Source organism: Homo sapiens, chromosome 7 (assembly GCF_000001405.40).
Source record: "Homo sapiens chromosome 7, GRCh38.p14 Primary Assembly".
NCBI lineage: Eukaryota > Metazoa > Chordata > Mammalia > Primates > Hominidae > Homo > Homo sapiens.
Genome location: NC_000007.14, coordinates 141,647,131 through 141,673,518, shown reverse-complemented (window position 1 = coordinate 141,673,518; position 26,388 = coordinate 141,647,131). Strand labels below are relative to the sequence as shown.

General features: G+C 44.2%; 2 protein-coding genes across 5 annotated transcripts in view; one reads left to right on the top strand and one right to left on the bottom strand.

Annotated features, from left to right (window-relative positions):
• The window catches only part of DENND11 (DENN domain containing 11), a 45,439-nt gene extending 28,648 nt beyond the window's left edge, over positions 1-16,791 (top strand). Inside the window, exons 5-9 of the mRNA NM_001080392.2 lie at positions 7,094-7,232; positions 8,201-8,332; positions 8,465-8,615; positions 9,279-9,347; positions 10,668-16,791. Of these exons, the coding sequence (NP_001073861.1) occupies positions 7,094-7,232; positions 8,201-8,332; positions 8,465-8,615; positions 9,279-9,347; positions 10,668-10,863 (687 nt within the window). The 3' untranslated portion in view covers positions 10,864-16,791. The remainder of the gene's footprint in view (positions 1-7,093; positions 7,233-8,200; positions 8,333-8,464; positions 8,616-9,278; positions 9,348-10,667) is intronic.
• Positions 18,275-26,388, bottom strand: part of AGK (acylglycerol kinase) — a 103,835-nt gene continuing 95,721 nt past the window's right edge. For 3 of the 4 annotated variants that reach the window (XM_024446835.2, NM_018238.4, XM_011516397.4), the window contains exons 14-16: positions 24,186-24,256; positions 21,910-21,994; positions 18,275-20,732 (exon numbers count right to left, since the gene is read on the bottom strand). In XM_024446835.2, coding sequence (XP_024302603.1) covers positions 20,595-20,732; positions 21,910-21,994; positions 24,186-24,256 — 294 coding nt within the window. In that variant the 3' untranslated portion in view covers positions 18,275-20,594. Of the gene's footprint in view, positions 20,733-21,909; positions 21,995-22,915; positions 23,047-24,185; positions 24,257-26,388 lie in introns of those variants that run through there. The other variant, NM_001364948.3, reaches the window with a different exon arrangement.

Genomic DNA, 26,388 nt, shown 5'->3' with positions numbered 1-26,388 from the left:
AACCTAGGGCTCCCCTGGTAGAGAAATTATGCCAAGAGTCCAAGGGAGAACTCTGGGAAGATGCCTTAGGAGAGGACGCAGTCCCTGAGTATTTGGCTAGGTGGAAAGTGAGGAATGCTGATTCCAGAACCAGGAAAGGTGTGAGCAGCAGTGAGAACCATGGTCTGTCACTTTCTCAGCACCTTCTGGGAGTTATGCATTGTGCCAGCTATTTATCTGTACCTGTTGCAGCATTCTCTAAAATAAAAGTAAATGTTTTTTGTTTTTTTTTTTTTATTCCTTGTTTTCCAGCGAAAACAACCGAGGCTTATAAAGGGCTAGTGACTTGCTTTAGGTCTTATAGCTAATAGGAGTTAGAGCTAAGATTTAAACAGAGGTCTAGTGCCACAGCCAGTGCATGTTTCCTGCCCCACTTCATTGCCTTTGCAGAGATGTGGACACGGAAAAATGCAAGACAAGTTCATGAGACATGAGCAAACTAGTTTGGCTGGGATTAAATGTTTGTCAGCTGGCATGAGGGAAGTGATTGGAGAAATAGGCTGAAATTAGATTGTAGAGAGCTTTAAATAGTAGACCCTGGAGCTTGAATCCTAATAAGTACCAATTAGGGGCTTACCGGGTAAAGAGACCATGTAGGTATTTCAAACTAATTTAAGACAGGAAATCAGTAATATAGGAGTTGGAAGGCTGAAGGAGTAAAAAAGGAATAGGTAACCCATATTTAGTAATTATAGATAATAGCCTGACTAACACCCTATATTAGTGATTTATTGCTGTGGAACAAATCCCCAAATTAATGGTTTAAAACAGTACATATTTATTATTTCACAGCTTCTGTAAGTCAGGAATCCCAGCATGGCTTAACCAGATTCTCTATGTCACAATCTCTCATGAGATGGTTTCAGCCAGGGTTAGGGGCTCATCTGAAGGTTTGACTGGGGAGGTATCCACCTCTAAGATCAGGTGGGTGTTGGCAGGATCGAATTTCTTGAGGGATGTTTTGAACTGAAGGCCTCAGTACCTTGCTGGCTGTTAGTTGGGGGCTCCCCTCAGTTCTTAGCCATGTGGGTCTCTCCACTATGTGAGCTTGCTTTATCTAAGCCAGTAAGAGAGTATACTAGCAGGATGGAAGTCAGAACCCTTTGTAACCTAACCATGGAAGTGACAGCCCTGCAATGTCACCATATTTTCTTAGAAGCAAATTACTCAAGAGCAAGAGGGGATTGCATAAGGCTGTAAATACCAAGAGGTGGGGATCACTGGGGACTATCTTAGAGGCTGCCTGCCACCCTTCCTTAGGGCTAGGGTAACAAAGCAAGAGAAGCAGAATGAGCAAAACCATGGGAGCCTGCAGGAGGGGTCCCTGCACAGCCAGTGCTCAGATCGCTGAGGGAGGCACTGCGCATCTGTGCTGGGACCTCTCAGGAGGTGTGGCTCCACGTGTGCTGTGCATGCTAAGGAAAGCTGGAGGCTGGAGTCATAGGTGTCTTCTGCTCCTGGAGAAATACTAGCTGGAGCAAGAAACAGAAGAGATTTCCTTCTGCCTTTCAATCTACAGTCCATGCTCTCCATTGAAGAACTCTAACAGGAAGCCAATTGGCGTATGAGTTTAGGAATTGTCATTTGCAGGTTTCCCAACCCCGTGGCGTAGGCTGAGAGACAATCATTAAGAAATCGTTAGAGGGCCATTAGAGGTACTCTGGGCTTGCACTGACCTGAGTCCTGTTCTCTTTCTGTCTGCTCATAACTTAGACCCATTTTTTCCTTCAGAGTCCAATTTCTGTTGGAATTATCTCCAAATCCACAGGGAGGTGACCAGCATCTGACCTAAATGTACTCGTATTCTTCCCCATAAGAGTCCAGGGATGAGGGACTAAGAGAGAAAAAAGAAAATGGCCCATGCTTTTGAGGACAGCTCATTAACATAACTGTTAGACCCTAGGAGATGCAGGGAAGAGGGTACCGTTATGGTTGCAGATACAAATAACAGTGGAGTGTCTTCTTTTTACAAAACAATATGTCAGCACATCAAAATAAAAAACGGCCAGGCATGGTGGCTCACGCCTGTAATCCCAACACTTTGGGAGGCCAAGGCGGGCAGATCACTTGAGGTCGAGAGTTTGAGACCAGCCTGGCCAACATGGTGAAACCCCATCTCTACTAAAAATACAAAAATTAGCTAGGCTTGGTGGTGGGTGCCTATAATCCCACATACTTGGGAGGCTGAGGCAGGAGAACTGCTTGAACCCGGGAGGCAGAAGTTGCAGTGAGCCAACATCGCACCACTGCACTCCAACCTGGGCAACAGAGTGAGACTTCTCTAAATAAATAAATAAATAAAACATGTGCCTTTTGTTTCAGCAACCTTACTCCTCAGGATCTATCCATCAGAATGACGTATGTGTAACAATATTTAATTCAACATTGTTCACAGTGGTAGAAAACTAGAAAGCCATAGTGAGTAGTGAATTAGAGCATAAGAAGGTGACATGGAAGGATCACCAGATCTCATTTGTGTGAGAATAGCAACGTGCAGAAAACTCATCATTCCTTGGTATTTGCAGGGCCTTGGTTCTAGGCACCCTCCCTCAGATACCCAAATCTGCAGATGCTCACGTTCCCATGTAGTAGGGTGTAGTATGTGCATATAACCTATGCAGTTCCTCCCATATACAGATACTCCTCAACTTACTGTGGGGTTACACCCCCATAAGCCTATTGTAAGTTGAAAACATTGTAAGTCAAAAGTGCATTTAATGCTGGCAACCCAGCCAACAGTCCTTGACTTACGACGGGTCCACTTAATGTATGATTTTTCGACCTTATGATGGTGCGGAAGCAATTCACATTCAGTAGAAGCCATAATCCCATCAAAGTCTTAAGGAGCTTCTTGACTTAACGTGGGGCTACATCCTAATAAACCCATCATACAGTTGAAAACTTGGTGAGTTGAATCATGGTAAATCAGGGACCTTCTGTGCTTTAAATCATTTCTAGGTTACTTATAATACCTCATACAATGGAAATGCTACGCACATAGTTGTTATACTATGTTGGTTTTTACATGTATTAAATTTTCTTATTGTTATTCTTTATTCTTCCAAATATTTTTGATCTGCATGCAGTTGGTTGAATCTGAGAATATGGTATTAGGGGATACAGAGGGCCAGCCGACTGTACATGTGATATGATTACACTGTTGTTAAACAATCACAGTGTCTGTCTAGATAGAGACACACACACACCCAGACATAAACATGGAAAGTATTGATGGGTGTATATGAGCTTATTAAGTTATGTATTCCCTGGATGAGGTAAAGTATGGGATGCGGTAGGGCAAGGCTTACATGTACAAAAAAGGCAGGGACCAGGAAAAAAAAATGACAGTACTTAAAAATAGCATGTATGAGGCCGGGCGCGGTGGCTCACGCCTGTAATCCCAGCACTTTGGGAGGCCGAGGCGGGCGGATCACGAGGTCAGGAGATCGAGACCATCCTGGCTAACACGGTGAAACCCCGTCTCTACTAAAAATACAAAAAATTAGCCGGGCGAGGTGGCGGGCGCCTGTAGTCCCAGCTACTCGGGAGGCTGAGGCAGGAGAATGGCGTGAACCCCAGGGGGCGGAGCCTGCAGTGAGCCGAGATTGCGCCACTGCACTCCAGCCTGGGCGACAGCGAGACTCCGTCTCAAAAAAAAAAAAAAAAAAAATAGCATGTATGATATAATAATACTTGTCATGGATGGAAAATAATGTAATATATCTGTCAGTTTTTATTGAAATATAACATTTTATAGGAATAAGTTCAAAAATAGTATATATGATACAATACTTGTCATGTATGGAAAATAATATATATATATCTTTAAGCTTTTTATTGAAATATAAAACTTTATAGAAATAAGTTCAAAAATCATACGTATATAATTCAATGAATTTTTACAACATGAACACACGTATAAAGAAAAGCTTTAGTCTGAGCACGGCGGCTCATGCCTGTAATCCCAGCACTTTGGGAGGCCAAGGCAGGTGGATCATGAGATCAGGAATTCAAAACCAGCCTAGCCAACATGGTGAAACCCCATCTCTACTAAAAATGGAAAAATTAGCCAGGCATGGTAGCATGCGCCTGTAATCCCAGCTACTTGGGAGGCTGAGGCAGGATAATTGCATGAACCCAGGAGGCGGAGGTTGCAGTGAGCTGAGATAGCGCCACTGCACTCCAGCCTGGGCCACACAGGGCAAGACTCCCTCTCAAAAAAAAAAAAAAAAAAACTTTAAAGAAGTAAGCTTTTAATGTAGGAGTCAGATATAGGAATGTTTCAGAGGGAAAAAAATAAACTGGAAAGGAAGCAGAGGGAAGAGGAAGACCTCTCTGAGAGGTCCAGATGTGGCTGCTAAATGCTCCCCTTAGGAAAATGGGGGAGTGGGAGAGGGATACAGGGGAGGGGGGCTGGGCCCCGGGAGTGGAGGGCTTCCCTAGTGGCAGGCATGGGTCTATCAGAGCCTGCTATGGACACTGAACTGACAGTGGTTAGGGAGTAAAAAGAAATTGGAGTGAAAAGAGGATGGAGTATGGACTTGAAAGGTTGGAGGGAAAACATGAAGGTACGCACTGGAGACATCAAGAAAAGAGATTTCTCTGTAAAAGCCAGAGAAACAAGGCTGGAAAAAGGGAAAGAGATTTCAATGAAAGCAGGAGGAATTTCTGTTGCATGTGCAGGTGAGAAGGGGTGAGAAGTCTCTAGAGCTGACCCTTTTAGAAGAAAGGAGGTGGCCCTGTGGGCAGTGCTTCCCTGGCATGGGCCTGGGCACAGGGCCTGAACTACTTGCAGGTCCCAAGAAGGGCCATGTTGCCTCTTACCTGCAGGCCTTTGTATGTGAACACCTTCCCTCAGATTCATCTGTTTTTGTTTGTTGTTTGTTTGTTTGTTTTGAGACAGTCTCGCATTGTTGCCCAGGCTGGAGGGCAGTGGTGTGATCTCAACTGACTGCAACCTCTGCCTCCCAGATTCAAGCAATTCTTCTGCCTCAGCCTCCCAAGTAGCTGGGATTACAGGCACGCGACACCACACCCAGCTAATTTTTTGTATTTTTAGTAGAGATGGGGTTTCACCATGTTGACCAGGCTGGTCTTGAACTCCTGACCTTGTGATCCACCCACCTCGGCCTCCCAAAGTGCTGGGATTACAGGCATGAGTCACAGCACCCGGCCTCAGATTCATCTTTATGTCGAAGCTTCAACATCACTTCCCCCAGGAAGTCTTTTCTGTCTCTCCTAGAGTGGGATCAGGCACCCTCCAGTTTGCTCCACCATGCCCCATTCTTCTCCCATCATGGCTCTGTCAGGCTATATTTTAATCGCTTTCTCCCACTAGCCTATAAAATATACATTGGGCAAGCCCCACCTGGCCTCTGTGTGGTGGAAGAACAAGTTGGGAGCTTGAAGATAACCAGTGGGAAAGCTGGGAGGAACCGGCACGTGCTTTGGCACCCTTTCCTATCTGGTTGCTGTTAGACTTTGAAGAGAAATAGCGATTGGAGGGATGCAACCAGCCTTGGTCACTTGGTGCCTCTCCTCCTCATGATTTGGGTTGCGGTGGCAGAGGAGTAGGCGTGGGTGGCAAACAGGACATGTTCAGTTCAGGGTCGCCTTTATCCTGGCATGGGGTAGGGGAATGGTATCAGTGCAGGAGTGATGCCTTGGAAAGGGAAATCCTCTCCGGGTAGTGCAGACACAGCTTCGGAGGGTCCAGGACAGCCCTGGCTTGGACAGGCAGAGTGCAGAGGCTGCCCTGAGGCTCGGGTATAGGTGCCTCTGAAGGCTGGTGGTTGTTAAACCCTAGCACGCAGCCCGAGAGTCGGTGCCTCTCTCAGAAGTGCTCTTGCCTGCCTCCCTGATGGGTGATGAGCTCTTTCTTCTGGCACTTTGGCATGGAAATGACCTTTCACAAAGCTCACAAGGCCCAGGGTTTGAAGCCTTTCTGTTTTTCAAAGCAACAGTAGTGGCCACCCCATATTGGCTATTTTTATGTGCTATTTCATGTTTTGTCTCAGGCGGTCCTTAAAGTAACCCTACGAGGTAGGTGATGATTCCGTATTTCACAGTTAAGGATAGTGAACCGGAAACATTAGCTAACTTTCCCCAGATCTCCCTGTTAGTAAATGGCAGGGCCAGGATTGGAATTCAGCTCTTCCTGGGATCAGAGCTTATGCTCTTAACCCCTATGATACTCCTTGGCTCAGTGTTCCTAGAAGGCAATTCAGGGGTTGCCAGTTAGTGACAGAAGGAAGAGTGGGGCCAGTCGTGGTGGCTCACGCCTGTAATCCCAGCACTTTGGGAGGCCAAGGTGGGCGAATCAGTTGAGGTCAGGAGTTCAAAGCCAGCCTGGCCAACATGGTGAAACCCTGTCTGTACTAAAAATACAAAAATTAGCCGGGCATGGTGGTGCATGCCTGTAATTCCAGCTACTTGGGAGGCTGAGGTAGGAAAATCAAACCCAGGAGGTAGAGGTTGCAGTGAGCCAAGATCACGCCACAGCACTCCAACCTGGGTGACAGAGTGAGTCAGACTCCATCTCAAAAAAAGAAGGAAGAGTGGTCAGAGGTGAAGTGCAGCAGGGGTTATGCCAGGGGCTCCTTCCTACCTGTGACTTCTGCAGACACCTCACTTTGCACAGTAGCAGCCCCCATAGATTTGGGATCTGACTGGGGACTGTTTGCTCATCATGTTATTACTTAACAGTGCTTAGTAATGTTTTCGAGTTGAGTTTTCTTATTGAAGCAGATGCTTTTATTCTGGTTTTTTTAAATTTAAATTTAGCTTTGTTTCCTTTGCATTGTTCTCCTGAGTAAAATAATGATCACTCAACTCAAACATCAGTGTATCAGGGAGCTGTTGTATTATAGAAATCCAGTTTAAAGGTAAGACTTTTAAAGTGAAAAACATCATTGTGTGTGGAAATAAGCATCCTTTAATGTATCTGTTTGGATGGACTTTAGAATTTCAGAGAAGGAGATTAGATACCTTTTGCTATATTTCTAAGAAGCTGTTCCTCACTCTTTCTCCTCCCTATTCCCCTCAATTTTTTCAGATCACACACCCAGCTGGCTGCATGTCTCAGTTTATAAAGTTCTTTGGAGAACAGATCCTCATCCTCTGGAAATTTGCCTTACTTCGAAAGCGCATTTTGATATTTTCTCCCCCACCTGTGGGCGTGGTGTGCTATAGAGGTAACCAGAAGCCAGAGTCAGGAGTGCTGCTTAAATCCCTGGAGCAGAAACTGCTTGAGTCTTTCTGTCACTGACCAAGTTTGGAAGAGCTTGGGCCACATCCAGGGGATGGGGTTTTAAGCCCGGGAGTGAACTGATTGGCTGTGAACACTGTTGACAATGTAGAAGATGGGTTGGATGACACATCAGTGGCCTGGCCAAAGATTAGGGCTGGATTAAAGCAGAGAAGATGCATTCTAGATGGATTTAAGAGAAACTGGACAAAACTTGTTGTCTGATTGGGTTGTAAAGGTTCTGATGTGTGTGAGGTTGCAGTGGAAGCAGAGTCTAGGATAACAAGGGTGGTGGGGCCACCAGATGGGGGACGGAGGAGGAGCCGGGGGCTGGCTTGATAAGGTTAGTGTGGGATGTGATGAGGGTGTGCTGCCTTGAGACCTTCACAGCAGGGGTGTCTGCCCACCCTGCCTAGCTGGGTCGGGACCTGTGGGCGTTTGAGCTGGAGATAAAGATTTGAGGGTGGTAGATTATTTCTGCACTCATATCCAGGATGGACAGCGTTACCTGGGGAAAGTACAAGTGTGGAGGGGTGTTCCAGGCACAGGAAGTGGACCAGAAAGGTGGAAGGACAGAAAGGACTAGGGAGGGACAGGCAGAAGGGGGAACCGGAAGACACAAGGGTTACAGAGGCCGGAGTTCTGACAAGGTCAAATTCTAAGCAAGACCAGCTAGAGAAAGACTGAGAAATGTTTATTGGGTTTGGGAAGCACGTTGTTGACGTCACCTTGAGGGGTCAGTTTCTGCCATGGCACCCCAAAAGGCTTGCCACCTCCAGTCTCCTCAGAACGCCAGGACCACCTGGATCCTGAAGCACCAGATAGCCTGGAGCAGAGGTGTTGAGCCGCAGGCTCCGAGGGAGGAAGGGCTGTGGAGGGGCAGACCCTCCCCGCTCACCTCCTCTATCCCCACAGTGTACTGCTGCTGCTGCTTGGCCAACGTTTCACTGCCTGGCATCGGGGGCACCATTCCTGAGTCCAAACCTTTCTTCTACGTGAACGTGGCTGACATCGAGAGCCTGGAGGTAGAGGTGTCCTATGTGGCCTGTGAGTACGGGGCCCTCCCCTCATCTTGCCCTCAGGTCCCAGCCCTGCTCCTCCCAGACACAGGGCTCCTGGGCGCCTTGTTTCCCAGTGGGGTCGGGTGGGTTCCCACCTCTCTAACCCCGGGTTCCACAGGCACCACAGAGAAGATATTCGAGGAGAAGCGGGAGCTGTATGACGTCTACGTGGATAACCAGAATGTGAAGACACACCACGACCACCTGCAGCCGCTGCTGAAGATCAACAGTGCTGACAGGGAGAAGTACCGCCGGCTCAACGAGCAGAGGTAGTGGCAGCTAAGGGGAGAACCAGGGGCTCCACCCTCCTCAGGGCAGCTCCAGCATGGGGGTCTCTGCAAAGCCTGTCTTCTGCCCCTTCCCTGACACATTTCTCCCAGTCTCCATGCTGCCTGGGATGGAGATGGAAATGAAGGGAAGCCCCGCAGTAGAAGAGGCCAGGCTCCCTGTATGCTGCCCTGATAGGAGGGGAGTAGATCCACGGTGCTGGTTTATTTCTTCTCATGGACTTTGGAATCTGTGGAAATTACCTTAGCTGCCAGCTGCTCTCCACGTGACCTTTAGATGTACCTGTGTGTGCGGCTTAGAAGCACCTTGACTGAGCACCTTCATTGTGTTGGTCGCCGTATTAGAAGCTTGCTTATATGTATCTGATGTCATTGTCAATAATCTGGTGATCCTGTGAAATAAGTATCATCATCATCATCATCCCCTTCTGATAGACAACTAGGAGATTGTTACTTGCCTAAGATTACCAGGGGCAGAACTGGCCCTGGACCCCAGGGATTTTGAGTCCAAACCCTGTTGATCCCTTTCCTGGCTGGTGCTGCTTCCTGGGAGGTGGTGGCCCATTGAAGATGCCTGGCTGAGGCCTCACCTGTGACTGCGGTCCTGGTACCTGCACCAGAGTCTCACGGTGATCTTCCCAACAGGCAGATGCTGTTGTACTCCCAGGAAGTAGAAGAAGACTACAACCCTTGTGAAGAGGACCTCTTCGTGCTGTGAGTCCTGGGGCCGTGGATGTGGAGTCTCCCTGAGGATCCCTTCGGCACTGAGTGACCTGCATCCCTCCCATGTCATTCACTGCGGGCCAGGGATGCCGTTTATTGCTGCCAAGGGCACTTAGAGCCGGGCTCCTTACAGAGGCAAACCTGAGCCCTGAAATGCCATTAGGGGGAACCCAGAAGACTTAGGGAAAGAAGCAGGTCCCTTAAGAGAAAACAGGAGTCTTAGTGTTTCTTTCCTTGTTGGGCTTTTACATCGAGGATGTCCACTGCCTGGAAGCTCTGTCTGTCCCTCAGGACTCAGGGACTTCTCATTTCCATTGCCTCCTTTGAATAGAGTAGTTCCTTGCGCTGAATATTATGGGATAATCTGAAATTTTAATTCTTGAATCAAATGAAATCTCTTTGCCCCGTAGGTGCAGAAGCCAGGGCCTTTCCACCTCACAGTACTGATTTCATTCCTAGACAGCTGGGTGAAGTAGCCTTCTGTGGCATCAACTGAATTCTCCCAGCTTCCTGTTTGGTCTTCCAGGGGTGAGGTTGTGGTTTGATGCTGAAAACTTAATGTGGGCATTTCTACAAAGGTGTAGCACCTTGATTCTAATAGTGGACTTCTAAAACCTACATCCTGTTTAGGTGGAAAGTATCTGAGACTTGAGCACAGCCATAGTCTCATCCAGGTATGACATGTGCCACTGTGTCTGAAATTCCTGAGCACCGAGGGCCGCTTCAGGCACCAGGCACTTTGCCAACCTGAGAGCTGTATGGGGCTGGACTGTCTAGTCTAACTAGGCAGTGAACCCTGTCCTGAACAGAGCTTGTTTGTTCATAAAGCACTCTAAAGCAGTGACTTTTAAATCTTGATCTGTGCATAATCTCACTCCTCCCAAAGAGTCATCAAGGGAGAGCAAACACCCAAGGGTAACGTTGGCTCACGTTCATTTTGTTGTTGTTGTTGAATTTTTGCTTCCTCCTATGACTAAGCAGAAAGAGAGAAAAGCAGTGTTTGGGGGCCTCTTCTCAGGCTGTGTTTAAACCCAGGTCACTTCCCTCAACAGGAAAATGGATTTTGACAGGCCATCTTGCTTAGAGATTTCCCTAATCACACCATAATTAATGCCAAATGGTTTCTTTGCTAACCTTAGTAGCACTTGAATAATTAACTTTTACTCTTTTCTTTTTTTAAAAGATACCTGCGAATCCACTGAAAAGTACATTAAACAAAACAGTATAGTTTTGGTTCCCCATATGTGGATTATCTGGTGAGCTTTTTATTCCCCCCCGCTTCCTTTCCTGTGTCTTGTCTTCCAAATGCAGGTTTTTCCTAGAACAAAACAACCGGATATTTCAGACTTTGTTGGAGGTGTCTGCCAGTCAAGACAAAACTCTGACAGCAGAGCATGCCCGGGGCATGGGCCTAGACCCCCAAGGAGACCGGAGCTTTCTCCTGGACCTGCTGGAGGCCTATGGCATTGATGTCATGCTGGTTATCGACAACCCCTGTTGCCCGTAGGAGGAGCCAACAGGACTGGGAGCCACTTCACGTGGGATGTCAGCAGCCCGGAGTTCACCCCAGGGCCCCAGAGGGCCTCATTTTTTATTAAGTTGACACAAAGGAATATTGTTTATACTTTCCAACAAACATAATTTTTGCAATTTCCTTTCTGCCCTTTTCCCTAGAGATAAGGTGAGATCACCTTGGTTTTGTGTCCTGCCATGTTAGGATATTGGAATCTGCCACTTTCTCCCAGAGCTGCTGGTCCTCTGGGCTTGGTCATGGGAGTTGTATCACTAGGAGTAGGCTGAGCTCTGGAAACATTGGGATGGACTGTTCAGAAAGTCTGTGTGGTCTTTGTCCCTTGATGTATTTGAGAATAAGACAACCACCTGTCCCCTGTGGCCTTAGATGTTCATCTGCCTAAAGGCAGAAACTAGACCAGATGATCTTTTAAGGTTTTTAGTAGTTCTAGGAGTCTATAGTCTTGGGATCAAATCCCTTTTCTTGTTCATTAGGGCAACTTTATGTCTTCTCTGTTTACTTGAGTAGGGACCACAAAGAGGGAAAAAAGGATGTTTCTGACACCAAATATGAGCTTATCTTATGGTCAGAATGAAAGAGGTTGCTTATCAGTGAGCTGAAAACTAAAATTATAGAATGAAGCCTGGAAACCTTCCTCAAAGTAACTTGATGGTGGCCATGCAATGTAATGTTCCTCTTTGTCTGAACCTTCCTCTTCTTGGGATGAATTGGTGAATTGCTAAGGGCCAATGCTGGCCTTGGAGCTTGCAAGCAAATTAATTTTCCAGTTTAGTCTCTTAAGGGTTCAATAATGCTCTTGGAGTAAGTTGGGTATTTTTAAAGGCTGAAGTTTGGACTACCGGAGGATAGAGCAATTGAAGTTCGAGCAGGATGGAGAAGCCACTCTAAGTCTCTTCATCTGGACACGAATTCTCTGGAGGCATTAGCAGCAGCACCTCTGGGTCAACACAGATTTACTGGATTCCAAAATCTAGCAAGGATCTGAGCTGGTTAACTCAGAGGGTGGAGCATGATGCTAACAAGACGGTTTATCATTTTGGACCCCTCACAAACACACTTCTCTTTAGCAGAGGTGACATTCCTTAGGCTAAATAATTGGATCCAGGGACATAACAGATTTGTTGAGAGAAAATGTGGCAGTGCCTTCACCCGGGACAGTGGTCAGGAAGCCCTGAGCATCCCTGATGGATTTATCCATCCTCTTCTGAAGTGCTCTGCTCTAGGCTGGGTCCTGTTGCCACCTGCCTGTTCTCTGGTTGGCTTTTGCAGGAGGGCAGCTTACGTGTTTGTCAACCAGTTAGAAAGCCAGTTCCTGTGGGTCGAGTTTAGGCCTTTTTGGCCATAGTTGAGAATTTTGACTTGGGATACTGGGTTGTTGGTGACAAATAATGTCTTCCTTTTCCCCCTTCCCGCCTGGCTCGGTTATGGGAATAGCCGTCAGTGCATCCATGTCTGTGACCAACACCCAGCCAGACTAATGTACACAGCAGGGAGAAATAACATTCAAATGGTGGTTCACACATCTCATCTCAAGATAAGATTCTTAGGGTTCACTGCTTTATTCAAAAGTGTTTTCACTGTAGCTCCTTCATATGGAATATCAAAACTGAAGAAATTCACATGTGGAAATGCAAATAGACATTGATTAATCAAGGTAGCATCTTTATGTAAATATATAAATAAGTTTGGGCATTGAAATGTAAACTGTACAGCTAATAGACTTTTCTCCTCTGCAATGTGGGTTGCTGTCATTTCAGTAATGTGTATGTTTACAAAAGAAAAAAAAATCTGTGTTTCGAGGTTGAAGCCTCACCTTTTATTCTCCTTTACATGCAACCCTCTCTTCTTGCCTCTCAAGGGTTGAGGGGTCCTTTCTGTCAAGTAATGGTTATTTTTCGTGGTATCCTGAGGTTCAGGGTGTTTTAAGCTGGGGGTAGGTGGTTAGAGGCAGGAGTAGAAGTGAAAGGAAAGGTCTGATTCTCCTAGAGGACACAAGAAGACCTCCTTTTTCTGGAATTAGGGAATCTGCCGGAAGGAGCTGTTTGAGGCATTTCTGCTCTGAGCCTTCTATATGCAAACACTGCAGTTTTAACTGCAAGCTCAGAAGTGCTGGTGTAAACATAGCAGGGTGAGAATGAAGTTCCTGTTTTTTCCTTTGAATGGTGAGTCAGGGCTTCTGGGTTCCCTTAACTTTGTGCTTGTCTCGGTAGCTTTCTGTCTCACATCTCCACGTGTCCACCCTCCTGCTCATGCAGAGGGCCAGGGTATGGGTGGCCCCAGAGGAGAACGTGCCAGTGAGGCAGTGCCATGTTTCAGGTCATAGGGGCCTTGGGCTCAGCTGACCCCAATGCAGAACTTCTCCCTTTAAGAGAGATTCCAATAAATTGGTCCTTCCCTACCTTGCCAGCTTCTTCATAGGACCAGAAATCTTGTGCAGAGCCTCTGCTTGGCTGAACAGCGTGTGCTTTATCTCTTCAGTTACCTTTGCCACTGTTGAGCATCCTCAGAGTATGTCTTGCCTGGGCTATGAAGTGGAGCCTGTGGCTTCGGAAATCACCTTTCGAAGCCTTGCTCTATGCCAGATTCTGCTCCCCAACATGACAGATTAACAGGCACAACCTAGGATCCTTTGCTACCAGTTCTCTACTAGGGAATTCCACAGTGGCAGCAGAAGCTAGGAGCCATGTGGACCTGCTTTTCTGCCAGTCTTGAAATATTTTCTGAGAAACCATCTGCTTTTGTTCAGAAGAAAGTGCTGAACATCGTTCACAGACTTCTAGGTCTGTAAGCTCTTTAGGGGCGGGCATTATGATGACCACCGGCCTCCTGGAGGAGGGTTGGATACCTGTGGTGTGACACCTTCTGCCACCATCTCCTGCCGGGCCTCAGCCCTCGCCTGCCTGAGCAGGCCTAGTTCTCCTGTGAAGCTGTCAGCCTGATCTCATGCCACACTGTGAAATGAACTATGTGCCAGTTTGGAAATGATTGCTGACCTGAGATGCTGGCTGGGCTGCCCTGTTGTTCCTGAATAAGTCAGAAGAAGTTCCAGGTGGGAGTGGAATTCAGGTTTGGGGCTCGTTGGTATCCATGCAAAATATGACAAAGGCCTGTTCAAGAGGGCATTTTCAATTCTGTAGGCTCAGCAGATGATACTGCCCAGCCTTTGGGAAAATGTCCAGTTGGCCCCTGGCTTAGGACTCTCCACAAGGAGTTTGAAATGGTAGGGCTTATCCCCTACCAGACTAAAAGTATGGCCCAAATTATGTGTTTAGAATTTGCTTGGCCTTTAAACACGAACCATTCCCTATGCCTGGTAGAGACCATTCCAGTGTCAGTGTCCCACCTGGGACCTGTACAGTCCTCAGTAAATTATGATTGCAATGAATTAGAAGGCTTTTGCCTTCCATATCCATCATCCATTATAGCATCTGTGCTTCCACCTGGTTAGGGGGAGGGAAGCTGAAATCATTGATGTATCAATAGAAGTAATTTAGCTTAGGAACTTGCATCTATAACTTACCTTGTTTTGTTCCACTTTAAAGTCAAGACAAGAAAGTTAAGATAGCACACAGGTGCACATGCTTCCAGATGCCACATGTGAACATTTGTTGATCATGTGACTACCGATGACACTTTAGCTAGAAGATAAATTAAATCTTAGCTAAATCATTGTTTTTCCTTCTGGTGGCTATGAGGATGAATTTGCTCTCAGTCTTGATGCACTGAAAGCCCTTCAAACACAGTAAAAGATGAAATCACTCATCTTTAAACTGAGGCCTTCAGGGAAGCTTTTGTAAAGGACAGTAATGAATTAGGCTTTCAGTTTTAGGACATCAACCCTCCGAGAAAAGGCAGAAACCCGAGGGACCATTTATTTCCCTTCGAAACTGTATAGCCCAGGGAATGGATTGAGATGCTTTCTCCAGACCCTGTATAGGTCAACCTTGCAGAGGTAAAGGAGGAGGGGCAGGTGGATGAATAAAATAGGATAATGCTCAGCTTGGCAGTGGACTTGCCTTAGTGTGATGACAGGTCTAACATGGGCAAGACAATTAGAATGGGGACCAATATGCCAGGCATGGGCTTTTATCTCCCTAGTAGATCCCAAGCTAGTAGGCTTGGATTCTGCCAAATGGCCAGCCCTCCTGTCTTCTCCCCGTACCTTGTAGTTAGACCGAGGTGAGAATCCTGCTGACCCCAGTCCCATCCCCTCTCATTTCAGGAAAACCCTTTTGTGATTCAGGTAGGGGGAGAGGAGGAGTTAAGGGCTCCGTTTACTCCCAAGTCATGGATTTTTAATATTCCATTTTTATCACTAATATACCTCTCTTCCTAGAAGCTACTGGAGTATTGAGTGTTGTGGGAAAAGGCTAACTGTGAATTAAGTTAATGTTTTTCTTATAAGAAATGGAAGTTTATTTTTTTATTGATATTACTATGTGATGAACTGAGTATGCATATACTGAAATGGAAGGAAATTTTAAAACTATTATTCTAGAAGAAATGGGCAGTTTTGTAATTTGGTGGTGGCTGAGACCCCATAGAAGTTTTACTATGTAAATAATTTGGAGAGTGAATAAGGAGATTGTGCTATGAAATCCTGACAGCGCTCTTTAGGAGGCAGACTTGACAGTCCTAGGAAGGTTGACATAAAAATACCAACCTTCAGTAAAGCTCTAGTACAAAAAAGGGTAAATGTCATCATTCTTATTTTTAGGCCTCTTTCTTGAGAGAGGTGGGAGTGGGAGGTAGTGTTATAACTGGCACTTTAATTTGTTTTTGGAACTAGAATTTAGGGGCAGTTGGATGAAATTGCAAATTTAGAAGGGGAATAAGAATTTTCTAGTGCTATATAAAGAAATGATGATGGAGACAAAAGCCTTGCTTTCCTCTTTTTAGAATTTATTTTCGATTTTTAGCATACTGTGGGGCTTTTAGAGCTAATATGATCTAAATTCAGAAAATTTAATTTTCATAGTAGGCCAGGTGTGAATTACTTATGTTTGCTATAGAATGCTTATTTAGACTAACAATAAATTTACTTTGCTTTCTAAGGCCAGTCAGCGAATGTGGGGATGAGGCAGGATGTTTTAAATGAGCCAGAGATGATCCACAAAGTGAACAGTCGACACAGAGGTCTTTGAGTTGGATGGTTGCAAATATATTGACATTAGAGTGAAAACTCCTTCCTTTGGGTAAACTAAAGAAAGATAAAGTATACTAAAAAATTTTAAGATGGTGTTATACAAAAAAAAGTTTGGGTCTAACGTGTCCACAAAGACTGTCAAGTGAAGAATGGTGGAGATTCTTGGTGTTTGAGCAGCCAACCTGGATGAGTGACTTCAGGGACAGAGCAGAGGAAAGCAAAATGAATTTCCTTTATTTACCCAAAACTTGTTGACTGAATTTTTGTATAGGTCCGGGAAAATAAGCCTAAACAAATAGTTGTAGCCTTAGAAAAACTGTTTTCCCATTTCTTTCTGAGTTAGAATCAGCATAGCCTCCCTGTCGCCTTAAATGTAAAAATCCTATTTTGATTAATACCCCAGCCTAAGAGTTATAGCAATACGAGAGACTGAATCTATTTTTGTTTCGGGTCTTTACCTCATAGTATGAAATTAGTAAGACACTGCATAGATTTTGCCCTGAATACTGGTGTGCCCAGGTATGCCGTGCTCTCTCTCTGTTTCCAGTGGTGGTAATTTTAAGGCCTAAAGAAAGCTGGGGTTAATCCTGAAGCTAAAAGTAAATGTTTCTTGAATTGATTTTGTTCTGTGGTACAAATAACATCTATGAATATCATATCTGTATATATCTGAACCAAGTTGTGTGCAGAGAGGTTGATATAACTATATTTACAGAAAATGATTTTTACAATTAAAGTTCACATTTTAACATGAACGTGCGTGCTGCAATCCCTTCTCCAGTCCGAGAAATGTGGTTTGTGGTAGGAAGGAATGGTGGCCTACTCCATGAGCAGAGCCTGTGGGGGCTGAACCTGACTTCACTTACAGTGATGATGGAGGAGATTGGGGAGCTGCTACCTGTCCTTCTAGAAGCCACGGTCTGGACAAACTTTCTCCAGGTAATGGGAAACAAAGTTGGGAATAACTGCGCCACCCAGAAGAGCCAGGGCTGTGTACCCTTAATTACATCAGGAAACTTCTAGAATCCCACAGAGACCACCACCCTTTTACTTTACAAACTCTCTTATCAAAGTTCAGTTTAAAACTTTATGTACTTGATATATATTTGGTATATGTGTATATTCTAAACTTTTATTTCATTTTTAACCTCTTGGGGAGTTACAGTATGTATTTAGAACCGGTATAGAGTACATTGCTATCGGTGGCTCTGTAAATCAAATGGCCTGGATTCAAAGTCAGGTTCCTATTTTCTGTGCTATGTAACCATATATTATTACAGGCTGAGTATCCCTTATTCGAAATGCTTGGGACTTAGAAGTATTTTCAGATTTCAGATGTTTTAGGATTTTAGAATCTTTGCATTATAAATCCAAAATCCAAAATGTTCCACTGGGCACTTCCTTTAAGGATCATGGTGGCACTCAAAAACTTTCGGATTTTGGAGCATTTCAGATTTCGCCTTTTCAGATTAGGGATGCTCAACCTGTAGCTACTTCCTAGGGTTGTTGTGAGAACTGATGCATCAGTTACATATGTGAAGCACTGGCACTTAGGAAATATAACTGCATCCAGATATGTGCAAAACAGCTGTGAGGGAAAGGAAAAAAGCTTTATTTAAAACCCTATCTTAATAGAAAGCAACTACGGTTTTTTTTTTTTTTTTTTTTTTTTGAGACGGAGTCTTGCTCTGTCACCCAGGCTGGAGTGCAGAGTGGTGCGATCCCGGCTCACTGCAACCTCTGCCTCCCGGGTTCAAGCGATTCTCCTGCCTCAGCCTCCAGAGTAGCTGGGACTACAGGCACATGCCACCATGCCCAGCTAATTTTTGTATTTTTAGTAGAGATGGGATTTCACCACGTTGGCCAGGCTGGTCTCGAGCTCCTGACCTCAGGTGATCCACCTTCCTTGGCCTCCCAAAGTGCTGGGATTAATCTTTGCATTTGAGTGAAATTAATCTGTCAAAAAGTTTGTACTAAACAATCACCTGGGAAGGGTGGCCGACTTCCCAATGCAGATTCCTGGGCCCCATCCCCAAATTGGGTTATTAGGATCTCCTCCAGATAGCTCAGCATTCCAGCTTTGGCTGACAAGCCTCACTCAGCTGACTCTCTTTTAGTTGCACTATTAAACGTCTTCCATGCAGGCTTTATAGGGAAGGACAAGGCAAAGAACAAAGCAGTCAACAATAAGGAAACCAAGCCCTCACAGGAAAGAAAGCCTGAATCAAGAAAACAAAGTTTGAAACAAGGCATATTTATATTTAAAAATGAATAAGATTCTAAAGTGGCTTCCATATCCTTCCCTAATTATATGTACCATTATGATTAGAACCACAAAATGAGCACACATAAACACACACTGGTAGCCTATCAGAAAAGAAAGCCAGATTCTGCACTGGTCCTTGATATTGTTACAGAACCACGATATGCTAAATGCTCTCAGCTCAGGTGAAAACTTTTGTTTTCATATACTACAGCATCCTTCCTCCCTACCTGTGGGTGGTATGGGATGAGTGATCTTTATGCTGATGTTTGGAACCGTCTGTTATGTTTTTGCCAAAAGCAGAAATTTTACCACCCTGAAGAATACAGTATGAAATAAGAAAGCCTTCCTTTTTGTGATCTTCATTCATGGACTTTTCATAGCTGTTCTGTAATCTACTAAAGCATTGGTCTCTCTCCATGGGATGTGTGGGCATGGTGTATGTATCTTAAAAGGGATCTGCCTGAGAGAGAGCCTGTAGCTAAGGCCTGCCAGCTCTGCTTCCTCCCCTTCCCCCTCGCAATCCTCCCTCATTGATCTATCTTCCTGTGGTGCACTGCCCCCTAGAGTGTAAGAACCTCAGGGCCACTGAACAAAGGAAAATGTCAGCGATAGTAAAAGTAAATGGTGCTAATGACTGGCTGGCAAAGCCATGGTAAATCAGGTGGATTTCAGTTCTCTGCTTTCAACAGACTAAAGGAGAATCTAATCAAGTTGTTTGTTAGTTGATAGATCATCATTAATAATTCTTGATGATAGAGCACTGTGATCTTTGTCAAAATGCCAAAGGAATCCAAAGAACTGTAAAAACATTGTTAACGTAATTCTATTCCATCGAATTTATGTGCTTACATCTATACAGAAACAAGGAATACAGCTGAGGTTGAACCCCATCTCAGCTGTAAATCACATTCATGTATTCTTGGATAAATGAACTAATTAGGATAAAGAACATTCTAATAAAAAAACTTTTAATCATCCAAGAATTAATACCGTTTTCATTATATACCAATAATTAATTACGATAATATTGGTTCTGGACTGAGATAACAAACAAACACTTAAAGCAAGAGCTAAAAAAAAAATTTCCATTTATATTTTTTGTTGACAAGAAGTAATGGGGTGAATGATTAAAAGATGTCGGGCATAATAGATTACATTATGATAGGATTCTTGGCTGAAAAGTGGTATGGAAATACAGAAGGAGAAAAGCCAATTTGAAATGTTTAACTACTAAAGAACTAGCTCATTTATTTTTATAAATGAATGAAGGGTGTCAAATTGTTGTGATATTTAAATTGTACTGGATATGTTTAAAATAGTGATGTAACAGTTTTTATTTTAAAATACCAATATTTACACGACACCAGCAAATACATACTTTGTCAACTATTTAACTTCCCATGAAAAATTTTAGATACCAACTTAGATAAAATTTTAGATATCAACTTAGATGGGTGAGGGTATACATGATTTTTCAAAATACTTTTGGGGGCACATGAGCAGAATACTTTGTGGACTACTGCTTTAAAACACGATTTCTCCAAGTACAGTTGAGGGACAACTTACAGAATCACCTGGGAAGGGCAGATGACTTTTTAAAAATGCATATTCCTGGGCCCCATCCCCAAATTTGGGTTATTAGGTTTGGGGTAGACCCCAAATAAGTTTTCAACATGTACCCCAGGTGGCTCTCATGCAAACCATTTAGGAAGCACTACTTAAAAAAATAAATAAAAACTAGCATTTTCCGGTATTGTAGCCGTGGCTGAAGAGGGAAACAACCTCACATATGTTTCTGGACTGAGGTTAGAACTGAAATAAAAGCTAAACAGGAGCCGGAGCTCACAAAATAGCAGCACCTGTGGAGGAGCCTAGACATAGGAAAAGGTCACCAGGGCAGGAATGCACTTTCCTGGAATTCCTAGCACGGTCAAAGAAGAGAAATGGAAGGGCCTAGGCAGGCTAAGCCCACCGTGGGCTCTCCACTGTGGTTGCACTTTGGAAGAAAACAGAAGAAAGTCCTTTTCCGTCTTGAACCAGCCTGAGGAAAGTCCGTGTTTAGGAGGGCCAACCGTCACACCAAAATAAAACATGCGCTAATGGAAGCCGATTGCAAAGCAGGTGACAGAGCACACTTTGGGAAGCACTGCTGGAGTGGGGGCAGAGGGGTACTTGCCATGAAAATGCCCTGGGGACCCTCTGACGACACTGTTGGGATGGCTGAGGCACCTGTTCCCTTTTGGTCCCACCGGTGGCCTAAAGTGTGGTCTCAGAGTGCTTGTCTTCTGCTGCTCACTGGGTGGGGCTTGTGAGCATCTGTTCTCTCTTCCTAGGATCACAGAAGAACTGCAGCTTCCTGGGGAGCAGTTTCACCTCCACAGGCATCGCTTCATACTCCTCACTGTCAATGCTAAAAGAGCCCCCTGCTCCCTGGGGAGAAGAGAATATTCAGAACAGCTCAAACACATCAGTGGCCTACTGGAGTTGGAGGTCTCACAGCAGCACCAGAAGAAGTTCATTATGGAAAACAACATCCTCTCTTGAGGAGCTATCCTAATGTTCTTTTACAAAAAAAAATTCAGTGCCTACTACGATGGGCACAGTGCTGGTTCTGGAAACATCCTAATTCTACCATCCATGAAAAAGGATTTATTTTCTTTTTTTGGCCCCTATCTCCTCCCAGAGTATTTTGGGATTTGAACAACATGGTTATAATTTTCAAATATGTATTAAAAGGCAAGGGTCCTGCCATGTCTTAAGGAACTCATATACATAGTCTTTCTATATTATGCTAATCCTTCTCAAATAAAAATAAAGACAGCTAATTCTCTTATGACATGCTATTGTATCTGCTGGATCATTTTCATTATTCTCTAAGACTTGTTTAGCTTGATATACCCAAGGTGTATCAACATTAATATCATTACAGTCTATGAAACCCTTCCATAACTCATGCATTTAATTCAATATTTATATCGAAACTGTGACGCCAGTCACTATGGGGATACCTTCTGTTTACCTATAGTCTTGTCTGAATACAGTAATATATGGCCACATGTCTTCAAAGGCTATATGAAGAGCCTCCTTTTTTTCCGTATTGACAATTGAATAACCTCCCAATTCCAGATTCTATTTCCAATTTTTTTCACTTACATAGGTTATTCTAAGCATGGCATTTCATAATACAGAAAAATTCAGTGTTGAACTGAAAACTGCTTCCAGATCCTTTATAAAAAATGTTAAAGTAAAAGCCACTATTAACATTTGCCAGCTAGACAATTCTCTATGTGTCTTAATGTAGTAACCTTCTGCATTATTTACATATGGAAAAATAAAAGGAGACCTAAAACTCACTTTAGGGAAGAACCTTGGTTCGAAAACGATGGGAGTCTTCAGAAGTCCAACTCTAAATCCATGACTCCCAAGGAGATTCTGCCATCCTTTTCAGCTCCCCGCTAATATGACCCAGAGCCTGGCAAAATGCTTGGCACACAATATGTGCCTAAGTCTAGGTCAGCTAACAGAGAGGAAGGATGGGACACCACAGAGGGGCAGGCCGATGACGAACGAATCAAATGCTGTGACTACCGACCCCTTCCCCACTCACCTCCGGGATAAGCAAAGTGCACTGGCTGGCTTGGAGACACTCCGTGCCCTCCACGTGCAGCTTGGGGTTTCTCACCTTTCGACTTCTGTGAGCACAGGAAAAAGCAAGCTTAAGACCAGTGATGGCAACTGCACTAGGTTGCAACAATGTAGCAACTTCTTTCCCCCTTTTTATGAGCTTACATAAGTGGACAGATGGTCTATTAAGCCATAGAATTCTGTAAATAATTTTTCCAACAGTGATTCTTGCTTAGCCTTGTGATACATTCTAGACTGAAAGTAGAGAACTGGGCATGAAGTTATGACTTTCTCTGAAATGCTCTTAATTTGATTTAAAAATTGATTGATTTAAAAATAATCATTCCACATGTACCTAATTCTTAGATTGTTAGTCTCAAATTTAAAAATTAGAATGAAATTCTTTAGGAAAAGTACTAAACGTCTGGTATTTGGTACTTCTTGTGATTACTTGAAGGATAAAATATTTTTACTTTAATGTAGATATTTCTTTTATGTATATGAACAACTAGTCTTAGAAGTTCTCTGATAACCCTTCCTATCTGTGGGTCCCACTCCCGTGGATTCAACCAACTGAGGATAGAGAATACATATTTTTGCACCTGTACTGAATCCGTACAGACTATCTTATCCCCTAGAGAATACAGGACAGCAACCATCCACATAGCATTTACATTATATTGAGTATTATAAGTAATCTAGAGATGATTTAGTGTGCATAGGGAGGACGTGCCTAAGTCTATGCAAATACCGTGCCACTATATAGAAGGGGCTTGACAACCTGTGGATTTTGGTATCTGAGGGAGGTCCTGGAACCAATACCCCAAGGATACCGTGGGATGACTGTATTTATAACGCGGTCTACTTGGCATACAATATCTACCTTGACTGAGTGACTATGGAGTAAAATTTCCAGCGCATATACAGACACACACTCCACCTCATGCAGATGTATCTTTTAGGCAGTGGAAATACAGTAAAAGCTAATCTAAGTAAATCAGTCCATTTATCATTTATTAACAACAGTAACTCTACAAAACGGTATCAGAGTTTTCTAACGCAGCTTCACTATGTTCTCTTCAGATATCCAGAGGAAACAGACATTACTTGATTTCACTTCCTGTAGAGAACAGAAGGACACTGGCTGCCACTGGTGCTAACAATGCAGAACATAGTGGCTTCGCCTAACCTTAGCAATAGAATTGGGGTCTCTATTTCTGGATACCAGTATCATAAAGGAGATTTGAATATTGCTGGTCTCACTGGCCAGACTGTCAATGAAGATTGTGTGATTTCTGGACATTCTGTAGAAGGAACAGGATTTTCCCTTCTTATAGATACAGCAAGAAAATCAAAGGCTGCAGAATCAGCTATTCAGTCTCTGAAGAATTTATGCCAAAGGCAAGAACAACAAACTTATGTGCCTGTGTAGATAATGAAGTAGCCATGGAGACCAGGCCGCTGCAGCAGAAATGTGTGATCCCTAAATGGGCACGAGAGGGAGCTCTGAGACAAAGCACAGAAAAGCGGAGCTGAGCAGATTACCAGTTGGCATGGGAACACACCAGCTCCTCAGATGCCCTGAAGGAGGATTTATAGTGTTCTTTACCAATAAAATTCTGGCAGAGGTAGGACTTAACAAATCACAGAACTTGGAAGGGTATTCTGTATTGGAAAAGGGAAAAAGGCCTGGGAAATGTCCAAGGTACTCAATACCTTTTCCAGTTTTTCATGAAGGCCCTGGGAATAGGAGGACATGGTGAACTGACATAAATAGTAATGGATACTGTGAAGTGCTTCAAAATATAAAAAGGCTTGACACACATTCTCTTACTCAAGGCTGAAAGCCAGTCCTGAGATCGGCAGAGATGATTATTTCATTCTGTAGACGGAAAGAATTCAGAGATGCTAAATGATCCGAGTCATGACGTCGGGTAAGTGGCAGAATCAAAATTTGCATTCAGCTCTTTGACCCTGAAACCAAAGTTCTTGACGCTGTGTCATGCTCCATTGAATTCTTTGGTTTCAATTGAAAAACAAAGACTGCTCTTACATTCTGATCCCCACAAAATGAACAGTGATGGCCAGCATAGGAGAGGGGCACTCTACATGTCAGCCCATAGGAAAGAAATAACATCGAAATTCCCAAACAAGACAAGGCTTTGGCTGGATTTCTGTCTTAGACTTCATGGGGCACTCTGAATAGTAAAATCTGAGAAAATCACAAGCCTCATTTCCTGTGAACCCCAGTCCACTTACCCTATAGTTATAAAGTCTCCTTTGCTGATGGTGTCAGGTTCAATGCAGATATTCAGAAAATCTTCTTTGCTCTAAAAAGGTTAAGAACACTAACGTCATTACTCTTAAAATTTGGCTAATGCAGCCTGTTGTCATCCTCAGCTTTGATGGTTCATAGTTTGAAGCTATATATAGATAGGGGACTCTACTTGTAGTGATTTAATTCCAAACCTATTTTCAATCTTTTTTTTTTTTTTTTTCACAAAGAGCTTTACTGAGGTATAATTTATAGAAAATTCATCTCCATTGCTTGGCTTTTTTTTTTACTACATAAGCAAACAAAACTCAGAGTGGGAGGTTCTGGACGTTCTGTCACTCACTAGTAATTATTAGCCGTTCTAGTCTCTAGGATTACTTCCCTTGCAGGCCAAGCTTTCAGCCCATCCCAGCAATCTCAGTGTTCACTGTACATGAGCTTCACATGACAGCATGGAATCGGCTGCTTGGTGTGGAGAGCCCAAGTGCCTGTGCTTCTTTAATGCTCTACATACAAATTTGGTGTGCAACCAGAGTTGGAAAACAGCAATCCGTTTATTCTATGGTAATGTTTAAAAACTTTCCATTTCCAGCCACAGAAAGCTCTGGATGATTTGAGCTACGACAAAATGGCTATCAAAACAGACTTGGTTCTTGGACCAGTTCCCATAATTTGCTACCAGTCAGTGACTAGCCATACAAACCTAGCCCTCTGTAAATCAATCCCACAACTTCTATGTCAGCTTCAAATAGAGGTCTTGTTTCTTTTGGGGTAGGTTCAAAATGTTCAGGCCCAGGATTTGAGGCCTCTGAGAGCCTTAAAGCCTTTGCCTAAGATTAAAGGGTAACTAACAAAGAACTCTCAACTAAGAATTACAAAACATAAAGTGGATGACTTTGAAAGTTCACCTTTTATTTAACTACTTACTGAGTGCCAGTCATGCACCATGAACCCACGGAGCTTGGGTTACACCAATGAACAAAACCCACATGACTTTCTGCCTACAAAGAACTTACTTTCTACTGTAGAGACTGGAGGGAATAGATGGATCATAGTAAATTATAAACTCTGTTAGAAGATAAGGATGCCACAACTATATTAGAGTTTATTAGAAAATAAGATCAAAGAAGCAGAGCAAGGAACATGAGGTGGCGCTGATGGCAGTGGCTGTGTTATGAAAAAGGGGGTCCCGTGGAGAAGCCTTGGAGAGGAGGCCTGAAGGAGGTGAGGGAGCCGGCGATGTGGCCACCCAGGGCAGTGGTTCTCAAACTTTAGCAGGTGCCACTGTAGAGCAGGTAACATTCAGACTCTGGTTTTTGTTTGTCAACTAAAAAATAAATAATTTTTGGCCAGGCGCGGTGGCTCACGCCTGTGATCTCAGCACTTTGGGAGGCCGAGGCGGGCGGATCAGCCGAGGTCAGGAGTTCGAGACCAGCCCGGCCAACGTGGTGAAACCCCGTCTCTACTAAAAGTACAAATACTAGCCGGGTGTGGTGGCGGGCGCCTGTAATCCCAGCTACTCGGGAGGCTGAGGCGGGAGAATCGCTAGAACCCAGGAGGCAGAGATTGCAGTGAGCCAATATCGCACGATTGCACTCCAGCCTGGGTGACAAGAGTCAAACTCCGTCTCAATCAATCAATCAATAAAAATAATTTTTTTTTAACTCAGACTCTGGCCCCATCCCAAGTTTCTGGTTCAGTAGATCTGGGGTGAGGCCCATGAATTTTCATCTCGAGCAACTTCCATGTGATACTGATGTGCTGATCTGAGAACTGGACTTTGAGAACCCCTAATCCGGGGATGAGCAATCCACACAAGGGGAACTACTGGGGCGGAGGCCTTCAGGTGGTGCTGGGGGAACATGTCTGACAGCAGGGAACAGCAAGGAAGCCCGTGTAGCTGGAGCAGAGCGAATGACAGGGGCAACAAGTGAGGAAGACAGGGAAGAGAGGAGCTACATCAGCAGAGCCTCATAGACCATGGCGAGGAAGCTGGCTTTTAGGCTGAATGAATCAGAGAGCCACTGGAGGGTTCTAAGGAGGGAAATATGTTCTGGCTTCATTTCAATAGGATCACTCTGGCTGCCGTGTTGAGAATTAAGACAGGAGTAGATTGGAGAGGGAGACAGTGGGCTAGGAATTAACATTATAGATAAATGTGTAAGAACGGCCCAGGGTTCAGGAGCT